The sequence below is a fragment of the Homo sapiens genome, chromosome 15 (genome assembly GCF_000001405.40).
Source record: "Homo sapiens chromosome 15, GRCh38.p14 Primary Assembly".
Lineage (NCBI taxonomy): Eukaryota > Metazoa > Chordata > Mammalia > Primates > Hominidae > Homo > Homo sapiens.
The window spans coordinates 71,376,967-71,390,259 of NC_000015.10; the positions used below are offsets into that span (position 1 = coordinate 71,376,967).

At 39.8% G+C, this 13,293-nt stretch overlaps 1 protein-coding gene across 7 annotated transcripts in view, besides 2 other annotated features; it reads left to right on the forward strand.

The window, feature by feature from the left end:
* The window catches only part of THSD4 (thrombospondin type 1 domain containing 4), a 686,490-nt gene that overhangs the window by 280,073 nt on the left and 393,124 nt on the right, over positions 1 to 13,293 (forward strand). The gene's annotated exons all lie outside the window — the stretch shown is intronic.
* Positions 9,022 to 9,556: an enhancer, noted in NCBI's record as "OCT4-NANOG hESC enhancer chr15:71678327-71678861 (GRCh37/hg19 assembly coordinates)". NCBI's record gives its function as "activates a minimal SCP1, AML or CMV promoter by ChIP-STARR-seq in naive H9 embryonic stem cells {active_cell/tissue: H9 hESC(naive)}" and the evidence as "EXISTENCE:reporter gene assay evidence [ECO:0000049][PMID:30033119]".
* Positions 9,620 to 10,513: an enhancer, noted in NCBI's record as "OCT4-NANOG-H3K4me1 hESC enhancer chr15:71678925-71679818 (GRCh37/hg19 assembly coordinates)". NCBI's record gives its function as "activates a minimal SCP1, AML or CMV promoter by ChIP-STARR-seq in naive H9 embryonic stem cells {active_cell/tissue: H9 hESC(naive)}" and the evidence as "EXISTENCE:reporter gene assay evidence [ECO:0000049][PMID:30033119]".

Consider the following 13,293-nt stretch of genomic DNA (forward strand, 5'->3'; position numbering starts at 1 on the left):
ATACTCACCTAGCAGGTGTGTGCAGGGTGATGTGCAGGGAGGGACCAAAAGGAGGTGGCCACAGTTATCTGGGCCTGATGTGGCACTGATTGTGGGAAGAGGAAAGAAATGGACGTGAGAAAGGAATTCTGGAGACACTCCCAGGAGGGAATCAATGTGGCAGGATGGCTGATTTCATGAAGGGGGTAAAGGACAGAGAAGAGTCAAGGTGACTGGAATAACATCAAACCTGACACAAAGAGGGATGCCCAGTGGGGAAGAACAGATGTGAGAGGAAGTTGAGGACTTGAAATTAACACTAAATGAGTTTGAGGTGAAAGCAGGGAATCCTGGTGGGAATGCTGAGCAGGTGAATGGAAATCCAGGACCACAGGCAGTATGTGGGCTAGGATCAACAGGAATGTGGGTGTTCCCCATCCTAGGAGACAGCAGGAAAGGGGAGAGGGGAGGAAGGAGCTGTGGACTCTGAGCCATGACCCTTGGGGAATGTCTGCATCGGGGTGGAGAAAAAAGTAGAATCAGGGAAGGAACAACCCCAGGGGAAGGGAACCAGGGGGCTGTAGTGACAGGGATGCAAAGGGACAAGAGGACATTGAAGAGAAGGTGGTCGTCTGCAGTGTTAGTGCTACAGGGAGGATAAGGAGAAAGAGGGCGGGCGTGATGAGGCCTGCCTGTGGGTTTAGAGACAACACCCAGGGTGCAGTGGGCCATTCTGTTTCAGGGCAGCTATTCGGGACCTAAGCTAACCGTGTATCTCCAGGGAAACTCTTTTGCTGACAAGGTTGCAGGTCATCCTGGGCCTGAGAACTTTGTGATATACAGAAGTCATTCTTTAAAGTCCTGTTCTTTCCTGCTTGTGATCACACTCTTGCCTTCTTCTCTATTCCCGGACATATCCACAACACACACACACACACACACACACACACACACACACACACACACACAATTTCCTTCAGTGACTCTTCTGAAAGCCAACCTGAAAATAGCAGAACATAAATTGTCCTGCCATTTTCCACCTACTTATAGGCTTAGTTGTTCAAGGCTAGCTACTGAGATGTCGGGAAGAAATTATCTGCCTTGTACAGTTGTTCAGGTTGTGCACTGCACAGGGTACTGCATCTAAGGGGATAGCATTTACGTTGTAGATATCTTTATTTTGATTTTTTTCATATTTTATTATAACTATTGATTCTAAAGATTAGTGATGTGTATATTTATTAGAACAACTTTCTGGCAGGTAACAGTAAAGTGGCTTTTTCTAATAATATCAATACATCATACAGTTTTCTATCGGGTCAAAATAAAGATGCTGAGAAAGGGATGCCTTCACTATTCTTGTAAAGGCATGATGAAAGTGGCCTGGAGAGCTCCCACCAGATGAATGAGGGGTGGAGGCTTTTGTGAGTAGATGGCTAGCCAGCTTCTTTCCAGGTGTGGACCATCAGAATGGGCACTGGTTGATTCATTCTAATTGAACAATCAATTACCAACCACTTGTTGTGTGAGAAGACCTCTGTCTAGGCTATGAGAAAGACAAGGTCCCATCATCCTTGAGGAATTCAGAATTTCAATGAGAACACAGGTAGGAAAACAATGTAATGCAGTAATTGCATATATAAAGTACCAGGGGATGCTTCGTCCTGCCAGTTGCACTGTTCCACTCCATTATGCTTTAGTTTTTTTAGTGGAATAAGCTTAAATATTAGCCATAATTAAAGCATATTTTTTAATGAATATTTTATGGTTGAGAGTCACTGCTTAATAAACCTAATTCTTTCTTCTAGGTATAAGAAGGTAATGTTGTTGTCATTATTGTTTTTTGTTATTTTTTTGAGGCAGGGTCTCACTCTGTTGCCCAGGCTGCAGTACAGTGGTGTGCTCATGGCTCACTGCAGCCTGGAACTCCGGAGCTCAAAGGATCCTCCTGCCTCGGCCTCTTGAGTAGCTGGGACTACAGTTGCATGCCACAATGCTGGGCTAATCTTTTTATTTTATGTAGAGACAGGGTCTCACTATGTTGCCTAGGCTGGTCTTGAACTCCTGGGCTCAAACAATCCTCCTCTGTTGGCCTCCCAAAGCGCTGGGATTATAGGCATGAGCCACCATGCCCGGCCAGAGGGTAACTTGTTTTAAGCCAGTTGTTGAGATCAAAAGCTTTTTAAGGCTTCTGCTCCAGGATTAGGTAGCACTGGTGTGTGTGGGTGGGGAGGGTTTCTTTAGCTTTTCTCATTTTCTCATTGTTAAAGTACATCTTAGCTGTTGGTTACAGAGAACAAGGAAAGGTCATCCTACCCATCTTTTCAGTTCTAAGGGGATTCTGGTTCTCTTAGGTTTACATGGCTATTGTTTTCTTATAGTCAGCTGTTGTCATATCTAACTTGTCCTTCGCCAGCCCTCCATTCCTAAGAGGACAGTTTTCCTTCCAACCTCTGACTCCATTAAGTTTGTAGTTTATGACAAATTACTGAAGCAAATGGCTTCTTTTTTTTTTTTTTTTTTTTTTTTTTGAGATGGAGTCTTGCTCTATCGCCCAGGCTGGAGTGCAGTGGTGCGATCTCGGCTTACTGCAAGCTCCGCCTCCAGGGTTCACGCCATTCTCCTGCCTCAGCCTCCCAAGTAGCTGGGACTACAGGTGCCCACCACCATGCCCGGCTAATTTTTTGTATTTTTAGTAGAGACAGGGTTTCACCGTGTTAGCCAGGATGGTCTCAATCTCCTGACCCCGTGATCCACCCGCCTCGGCCTCCCAAAGTGCTGGGATTACAGGCGTGAGCCACCGCGCCCGGCCACAAATGGCTTCTTTACACATGTATGTGTTTATTTGCTGACCTTTGTTGTTGTTGTTGTTGTTTAAAAAAAAACTTCAGACAAATTAAATTTAACAGAATTTAATTGAATGATTCACAAATGGAGTAGCCCTTGGAACCAGAACAGGTTCAGAAAGACCAGGGCTGCTACATGGCTGAATAATATTTATGGACACAAAAAGGGGAGTGAGATACAGAAAACAGAAGTGAGGTACAGAGAAAGCTGGACTGGTTAAAGCTTGGAGTTTGCCTTATAGCCACCTGTGATTAACTGAAGGTTGTCTGCTGTGACCGGCTGAGACTCAGCTACTTATTACAAAGGCAAATTCCAAAGTTAGGTTTTCATTTTTGTTTACGTACTAAGTTGGTTGCAGTTATGTAAGGACTCAAGTATGCAAGTACAGAGGCTTTCTCAAGCCAAATTTAGTTGAATTTAACAATTCCCTTCTTCTTTTGGTCAGCCTCTGACCAAATTTTGAGAGATTGATCAAAACTTTGGGCATTGGTGCCACTCTCTGTCGTCATCATAAAAGGACTTATTTGGTCTCAGTACAGAACTCATAACTCTTATTTGGTCACAGTATGGAATTCACAAGTCACAATGTCATGTCATCAGTTGAATAATTTTTTATATTCTTGCTAATCTAGTCAAAATGAAACCGTTTGATGCTCAATGAATGGCTGCATACAAATATTTAAGACTTGAGAGGGTACAACACACCCAGGAGACGACTGTGATCACTATCAAGAGAATAGTATCAAAAGACCAAAGTACACTCCTTAACAAGAGCCCATACAGACCAATCTAAATCAAACAAACCAAACTTCTGGAACTTGAGGCAGTTCAATAATAGCTGAGTCTAACTGATCATAGCCCCTGTTTTGGTTTTGATGGCAATCAAGGGACCCTATCTTGTTGCAAAATAGTCTGACTCAAAGAGGTATCCATCTTGGTAGTGAGCCTGGCAACACATGTCATAGCAATCTGGAGACACAGTAGAAGAAACACAGATTGGAAACTTTGAAAAGCCAAGCTTGCCACCCACCACTTAGGATGCCTCCAAACCAACTGTTAGCTGCTTCCGTAAGCATATTATATTATGCATTCCTTTCCCTTTCTCTTATGGGAAAGGAACACATAATATGTTTATTGCCGTCCCATTGAGGGTGGCAATTTAATGTCGTCCCTCTGTAAATGTTCAAATGGCCCATCAGGTAGTGGAAATGCACCACCTAAAGTTTTGATTGTCTTCCTAGGATTATGGGCTTGACAAGCCAAACATTGGTTGTAGACCATTTTAGCAAGCTTAGAATAGTCACCACACTAATATTTTTCATTATTTATATCATTTTGCCTACTGCTTGATGAGTTACAGAGTGCAGAACTTGTAATAAGGGAAACTTTAAGGACTCAGGAAGGGCCCCAGGGCCTCCATGAGTCCACACTTTACACTGACTTTGCATCCTTTTAAATATCAATTTTGTTTTCCAATTCAGGTACTTAGCACCATTTATTAAATAGATTGCCATAGGTAATTTAATTTGGATCAATCTTATGAAGTTCATTCAAATTGCATATCTTAACAATTTTAGTATTGGCTGACTTAATATAAAAACCTGCCAAAGCATTTCCTTGGTGTTAATATTTAATTAAGTTTTGCTCTGGCTTGATGTTGGGCTAGCAGTTTTATAAAGACAGTCAGTTTCTTCCTAAGCATTCTGGGAATTATTACCCTTCCATTGGAATTATCTTAAGGTTGTCAGAAACCTGTACTTGTCAGAGTCCTTTCCATCCTTTCCATGAACCTCCTTGGACACAAAGCACTTTTGGATTATCGATAGTTGACTGTGGATGACAAAAGACTTAACATGTCCAGTTAAAAATCTAATGAGAATTCATTATAATCAGCAATTGAAAAGAAAATTTGGTTATTTCTGTAGCATAGAACATTTTAACATAACTGAAATTATGACTGCTGCCGTATTAGATTTTTAGTAATCCCACACAATTTTTGGAACAGTCATCTTAATATCATATCCATAAAAGTAATTTAAATGTTAAACATTATTTCTTATTTGACAATGCTTCCCATATAGTTAACATATCAAGTAAGTCTACTCAGTTTAATATCTCTTTTTTTAAAAGGTGAGAGATACATCCTTTGCGATTTTCCAGGGGCCCTACTGAGAAATCACAAAGTTAATTCAAGATCAAAAAGAATTAATTTAGATTTGATTTGGGGAAGTTTGTCAAAAATGTCAAAAAGTTTAAAACACTTAAATATGACCTTGGTTATGTATTTAATCAAGATGACAATAAGGTATTTTAAGGACAAATACAGAAGTTTACATAGTTGTAGGAAAAATCTTAACTTTTTAATAGAGAAGACCCAGTTTTCTTTAGTAATCAAAGACCTAAGAAAGACAACATGAAGGACAGGAAAGTGTTTCGGTAAAACACAGAATTTTTATTTTCTGGGCCAAATGCCTAAAAGGTAAAGAAAAACCTTTCACGATTTCCTATTAAGAGCAGAAGCCAATACTCCAAGAAAACGTTCTTCTTTTAACAGAGAGGACCAAATGCTAGTTTTGCATCAGTGTACTTTTGCTATTAGCACTCAATTTTAGAAAAACAATTTCCTTCTAATTTTAGCCAACTTGATCACATATAAAATTCCTTTTATAATACGCATCTTCCACAAACCTTCTACATCTTATCCATTTAGTTTTATCCAGTCATTCTTTTCTTCCTTCATTCCTTCTGAAACCACCTCCAAACTAGATAAGACTACTCTTCCTTAACAATATAACACATCCTCATGCCTTTCTTATAACTTTCCTCACCAAAAACACATCTTACTTTTACTGTTTCCCTTATTATATCTAGTTTTAATTACCTTATATTTATTAGAATTTTAAACTATTAACTTTAATTTCTCATGGAATAAATAATTTTGAAGGGAGATGATACCATTTTATAATTTTTAGAAATGTATTTTCTCATAACACAATTTTTTATGTTTCCTAATAGACCCAAATATATTTAGCTTCTCTATACTGTATTAAAAAATGCAGAAGTATATATACTCTAAACCTATGTCCAGCAATTAATGTTCCAGTATTTTAACTTACTTAGACATTTAATAAGTATCTATTACTTAATGTAACATGACTTTAAGACATTAAGTTACTGGAAAATAACTTTGAAACAATGAATTTTGAAACAAGTTTATCCCATCCTAACAAGGGGTTGGGGTTGAGTCAAGGGACCCTTCCCCCCATCATTGTTTTTTTAAATTAACCTGTTAGATTATTGCCCTAAGTGATTTCTAGTTTGCTTATTATAATTTCTGTCTTCCTACTTTTTGAATTTCTCCAAATTGCTGTAAATAGAGGAAACTGGTTTTGGACCCTGTAATTTTGGGGGACCAGCAGGGGTCCCCCTCGTCTGTCCAGCCTTTGGTAGATTTGGCCTTTGTTTTAACCTCAGAAGTCTGTTTGACTTATCCCCTTTTATCATAAGCATCTAATGATTTTTTTCCTAAATTTGCATTTCCAAAGTGATGGCTTAAGCAAAGCTAGGTAGAACATTTATATCTCAAAGGCACGGAACTGAGACTTAAGGCTTGAATACCATCATTTGCCCAAATCAAGAAAGAAGGTCATACTTTAAGGCCTACTTAAGGCAAAATGGCCACTGTGATATTGTGATATATTGCGATATAAATTTAAACCAGTGTCTTTTCCATTTTGAGAGTTTCAAATGACTGGATCCTTCCTCTGTTCCTGGTACAGAGAGGCTGACAACTTTACGAATGTGGATTTTTTTTAATTGATGTAAATTTCTTTTACAAAAGGATTTCAAAATAGCCAGCTAAATGCCAGAAAAGTGTATAGTCGGCCCTCTGTATCTGCTTCTGCATCCATGGATTCCACCAACCATGGATCGAAAACATTCAGGAAGAAAAAAACAATACAATCGTAAAGAGTCATACAAATAAAAATACAGGATAACAATCATTTACATAACATTCACATTGTGTTAGGTATTATAAGTAATGTAGAAATGATTTCAAGTATACAAGAGGATGTACGTAGTTTATATAATACGCCGTTTTACATAGGAGACTTGATCATCTGCAGATTTTACATCTGCAGGAAGTCCTGAACTAATCCCCTGTGGATATTGAGGAATGACTGTATTTGAGAGACCAATTTAGTTCAATAGGTGGTCTCTTTGCAACTTAGCTTCTGTTTCTTAGCTAAAATTACTAATTCAGGGCAGAGCTCATTAACAAATAGGGCAAAGAAACTATTTTGTGGCCGGGCGCGGTGGCTCACGCCTGTAATCCCAGCACTTTGGGAGGCCGAGGCGGGCGGATCACGATGTCAGGAGATCGAGACCATCCTGACTAACAAGGTGAAACCCCGTCTCTACTAAAAATACAAAAATTAGCTGGGCGTGGTGGCGGGTGCCTGTAGTCCCAGCTACTCAGGAGGCTGAGGCAGGAGAATGGCGTGAACCCCGGAGGCGGAACTTGCAGTGAGCCGAGAGTGCGCCACTGCACTCCAGCCTGGGCAACGGTACAGAGCAAGACTCCGTCTCAAAAAAAAAACAAAAACATGAAACTATTTTGTGTGCCTGGATTCAGCATGGATAGCACTGAAAAAGATGAAGCCTTCCTTTATCTGAAGGTATACCTTTATAAACACTTTATCCAGCTTGCTTTTTGCCTTCTGGATGAGGTAAGTAGCTAAGCCAAAAGGTTAGCAGATTCAATTTTTCTTTCAATTAGTTGCTTCAGTTTTTTATTTGCCTTTTGCAAATAGTCTTTTAAAAGAGGCAATAAAATTTTTGAAACCTTCTTAGAAGCATCTGCACATCAATAGGCTTCCCGGGTGAGCCTAGTTCTGGAGCCCACATTTTAAAATGCACTTCTTAAAGTGCAGTGCCGTTCATTTGGAACCATCCACATAACGGCATTGTAATTTTAAATTATCTTCAGTAAGACTTTGCCTTTCAGGGCCTAATACTAATACATGTAAAGGTAGACATGACAAGAAAGTGGAGTACTCAATTCTTCCAAAGTTAAGGATCCCATTTTTATGTTGAATGTTGGCCTTGGCTCTCAGATCCCCTTAACCAGCTTAGCCAATGATTTTTCTTTACCTAAACATGCAAGAAAAAGAAATGATGAGGATAGGACACAAAATCCCTGCAAATTTCTGAAAGCTGGAGTTTGCACCCCCTTCAGTAATTGCCATTTACTGCCAGTTTCCCTTTGATTCTGTCAGACATCTGAGGCCTATAGCTGGATCCAGTCCAGTTAATTATTGGATCCAATCCAATCCTGGATCCAGTCCAGTTGCTTTCGTGACTTCCGAACCCAATTCAGTTAAAAAAAAATTGCTCATATAAACTAGGAGAGCTCTAGACACAACGCTGTGGAGTTCAGAACTCAAGAGAAAAACTAACCCATGACCTCCAGTTACAAACGAGAGCAGTGAGCACTTTGGGCTCCATGGATACCTCACCTGGTTGCCTGGTGTTCCTGGGGGTCATTGGAGTCTGACTTTGAGTCCCACTTGTGACACTAATCTCTTAAAAGAAAAACCTTAGACAAATAAGAGTTTAATAGAGCAAAGAACAGTTTGTGAATCGGGTAGCCCTCAGAAGCAGAACAGGTTCAGAAAGACTTTGGGGCTGCCACATGACTGGACACTTATGGACACAAAAAGGGAAGGATTGTACAGAAAACAGAAGTGACTTATAGAAACAGCTGGCTCACTTAGAGCTTGGAGTTCGCTAAAGCGAATAAATTTGAACCTGGTTTGAATACGTGGCCACCTGTGATTGACTGAAACTTGGCTGCCCTGATTGGCTGAGACTCAGTTATCTGTTACAAAGCCAAATTCCTAAATTAGATTTATGGTTTGTTTACAGAGTTAGGTTTTGGTTACATAAGGGCTTGAGTATGCAAATATGGAGGCTTTCTCAAATCACGTTTCGTTTAATTTAACACCTTCATAAATAGGATGGACTTAAGAGATCATCCCAACCTCCTTACTGTACAGATCAAGAGATGGGGGTCCGGAAAGCTGCTGATGTTCATGCTGTGAGTTTAACACCAGGAAACAACAATTTATCAGTAGAACTGTGTGTTAGTTTAAAGAAAGCAATGGCAGAATGGAGGCAGAACTCTAAGGAAAAATGAGGAAAGTGATGCTTAAGTAGCTAGCGGACCAACAGAAATGTCAGAGAAGAAATCATATTCTCTGTCTCATAGGCACCAGTATTTCCTGGGACTGTTTACTGAGTAGGTGCTTAGTGAAGATTGAATAAATGCCAACGTACAGAAAAGCAACACCAGAAATCAGAGAGTGACAACCACAGCCTTGTTTCTGCTGCCCAAATGTTAATGGGTTGACTTCCATTAAAAATCAAAGACAAAACAGGCAGCTACTTAATGGTTTGCCAGCCAAATAAAGAAGCTCATGCTGTGAGCAGCTAAGATAATAGTTCAAAGGAATGCTACCCAAGGAGGACAGGTAAGCAATTTCCAGATTCAGCCAAGGGTTCCAGGACTAACATAAGGATGTACAATTATAAAGAAAGACTGATGAGGACCTGCCCAAAGCATGTGGAGAAGGCCAAGAGGGGGTTAGGGGAGGTGCTGCAAATACCATGACAATAGAGACCACTGGGAACCTCAGAGAAAAGGGAAAAGGGGCATATATTTTCAATAAAATACTGACACATGTAAGAGAAAATGGAAATGTGAATTAGACATAAATTTATAGAAAAATAAAGCTAACATTATCTGCCTTTAATGCAGACATTTAAATTTCCAGCAGATGGAGATGTTACCACGTGAAAGAGAAGTTTGACAGGTGGACTCAGCTTCGCTTTCTAAAACATGATGGTTTGTTTCTTAGGAGTGAGACAAAGAGAAGACCCCTAAAATAGGTAGACTCCTGAGCTTTAAATAAATAATACTTTTTAAAAGAAACTTTAAGTGTTACCTGAGTTCCTAATTCAGAGGGTTAGCTTTTTAAATGATGAAAGCATTCGCCAGTTGTTTCCTTGTTTTAGAAGAATTTGGCAAAAATCATTTGTTTTCTAAGCTTTGTGTTTGGAAACAGAACAGAAAAGGATTCTGTTCGCCTCGTAATCAACATGTATTTGCATTACACTGCTTGCTACTTTAGGAGGCAAGGTTTCCGGGTTTTCTGTTTTTGTTTGTGCTGTCTTTTTCTTTTCTGGTCTCTAGAGATTCCTTTGCAGCCTATGGGCATAGGGTCAAGTTGTTTTCAGTTTGCTTGTGTTTTGTTTTAGGCTTCTTAGGACTTGGGCCGGATGCTTTTATCACGTTTGAAGAATGAATAGCTGTGCGCTGGAAACTACCTGCTAGGCATAACTCATTAACGTTAAAAAAAAAAACAGGCTGAGAGACTATAGAAAGGGATCTTTTTGACTGACATTGTTGTCTGGGTGAACTCAGGTGTTAGGGAAACATTTACATTATCTGCTCAGGATGCTGTGATTTGGTGATTCTCTCCAAACCAAATGGTACCCAAGAATCGGGGCTTACACGGGGTTTCACTGTAGACAGACAACGTGCCTTGAGATTTAAAGGGTATCATTTTTTTATAATTTGTTTTCCTTCCCTAGAGTCTTTTTCCTAATATGTATAAACAAAATAACTCAAAATTCATTCAAATGCATTTTCAGGAAAAAAGGAAATATGCTGTTTTAGATTTTAGTCTTAGAATAAATTCCAGGTGGAGGATGAATGGGTCAGTGGGTATGAATTATGTTGCCTGATATCTGTCTTACTTTCCCAAAAGCTGTACCAGTCATATGAAGATACAACTTTCATCCCGAACTTGCTTTATGTGCTGTCCTTAAAAAAGAGAGAAATCTTTCTTGTTGATTGTAAGTATATACAACAAAGGCTTAGAAGGAAATATTATGGTCTGGTCAGGGAATCTCAGGCATGTAGCTCAGAATCCTGGTCAGCACAGCTTAGGAAAAGCATCTTAAAGATTTTTTTCTCAGCCCAGAACCCCTCTTCCAAACTGCTCTAGGTTCAAGCAAAGGTTACCCTCCCTTGGCCAGGGGACCTCTTGCTGCCTGCCAGCCAGGGATGTCTGGATCTTCTTTTGATCTTATTTTCCCCCCTCAACCCAGAGCTATTTAATCTCTCCTGGGAGAGACAGAGGCATTTGTTATTTGGCCATCAACAGTTAACTGCTTTTGTGGTTTACACACATAAACAGAAGACAAATCAAAACTACACTCAGGATATCACACTTTCTCTGTAAAACCTGAGACTTTAACAAGAACTTACTTTACCTTCTTTCACATAAATCATCCCTTGAATTCATCCAGAAAGAGGCAATCAGTTTGCGTTTTTAACACTCTTGAGGGCTTCTTAAATTTCTGCTGCATAGCTGCTTGGTTTGTTCCCTTTAGCCTGTAGGTGATTCATTAATTTGCTCACCAAACCTATATGGAGTACCCACTAGGTGCCAGGTACTTTATAGTAGGAGAATGTGGGTGAAGTGATGGAAATTTATCCTTAGTAATGGGGAACACAGCAACTTTCATGCAGGCTTTATTGGTTTTGGGTCAGTAATGTCATCTTCATTTCCAAAGGACGGCTGATTTTTCCATCTACCAGAATGTGTTCCTTACTGAAAGGTCTTCTGTTGTTCAGCTCTTCCTGTATGCCCAGCTTTAGATGAAGGGGGGAAAAATAAAAACAAGAAAGCCAGTCCCTATAGGACAGAGTGGTCTGGTAGGAGATCATCTCAGCTACTCTAATTTGCTCACCAATTTTACTTACTTGTTTCATTCGAGTATTGATTTGATTCTTTGGAGAGAGTGTGTGTGTGTGTGTGTGTGTGTGTGTGTAGGGAGGGAGCAGGCTTTGGATGTTTGTATGGACTCAGGCATATTGAGTCCTTTTTTAAAAAAATTGTGATAATATGATAAAATATATATATATAAAAAACATAAAACTTACCATCCAATATGGTTTGGCTGTGTCGCCACCCAAATCTCATCTTGAATTGTAGCTCCCATAATTCCCATGTGTTGTAGGAGGTGACCCGGTGGGAGATAATTGAGTCATGGGGGTGGTTCCCCCATACTGTTCTCATGGTAGTGAATAAGTCTCATGAGATTTGATGGTTTTATAAGGGGAAACCCCTTTTGCTTGGTTCTCATTCTCTCTCTTGCCTGCTGCCATGTAAGACTTGCCTTTCACCTTCCGCCATGATTGCAAGGCCTCCCCAGCTGCATGGAACTGAGTCCATTAAACCTCTTTGTCTTTATAAATTACCCAGTCTTTATCAGCAGCGTGAAAATGGATTAATCCACCATCTTAACCATTTTTAAGTGTACAGTAGTGTTAAGTACATTCACATTGTTGTGCAACAAATCTCTAGCATTCTTTTCATCTTCCAAAATGAAAACTCCATACCCATTACACAGAAACTCCCCATTTCCCTTTCCCTTCAGCCCCTGGCAACTATTATTCTACTTTCTGTCTCTGAATTTGACTACTCTAGGTACCTCCGAGCAGCAGAATCATATGTTATTTGTCATTGTGTGACTGGCTTATTTCACTTAGCACAATCACCTCAAGGTTCATCCATGTTGTAGCACGTGTCAGAATTTCCTCTTTTTTTTTTTTTTAAGGCTGAATGATATTCCACTGTATGTTTATATCACATTGTGTTTACCCACTCATCCACTGATGGGCAGTTGATTGCTTCTACCTTTTGGTTACTGTGAATGATGTTCCTATGAATGTGAGCGTATTCATATCTCTTCAAGACTTTGTTTTCAGTTCTTTGAGGTATATACAAAGTAGTGGAATTGTTATGTGGTAATTCTATTTTTAAATTTTTGAGAAACTGTCATACTGCTTTCCACATGGCTATACTATTTTACATTCCCACCAACAGTATATATAAGGGTTCCAATTTATCCACATCCTTGCCAACACTTGCTATTTTCTGGGTTGTTTTTTTTTTTTTTTTTGACACAGAGTCTCGCTCTGTCACTCAGGCTGGAATGCAGTGGCATGATCTTGGCTCACTGCAACCTCCACCTCCTGGGTTCAAGTGATTCTTCTGCCTCAGCCTGTAGCTGGGACTACAGGCGCCCACCACCACACCCAGCTAATTTTTGTATTTTTATTAGAGACAGCATTTCACCATATTGGCCAGGCTGGTCTTGAACTCCTGACTTTGTGATCCGCCCACCTCAGCCTCTCAAAGTGCTGGGATTACAGGTTCCATTTTTGAGGGTGAAATAATAAATCAGAATGAGCAACATATTCTGGGCAATCCCTGAATTTTCAGATAAATAGAAACAAAGCAGGAAATGCTCACATTGGCCTTTATATATACCTACTATCAAAAACCAGACAGGATGGACCCAGTGAAATATAGGCCAAGGGCTTAAGAGAGC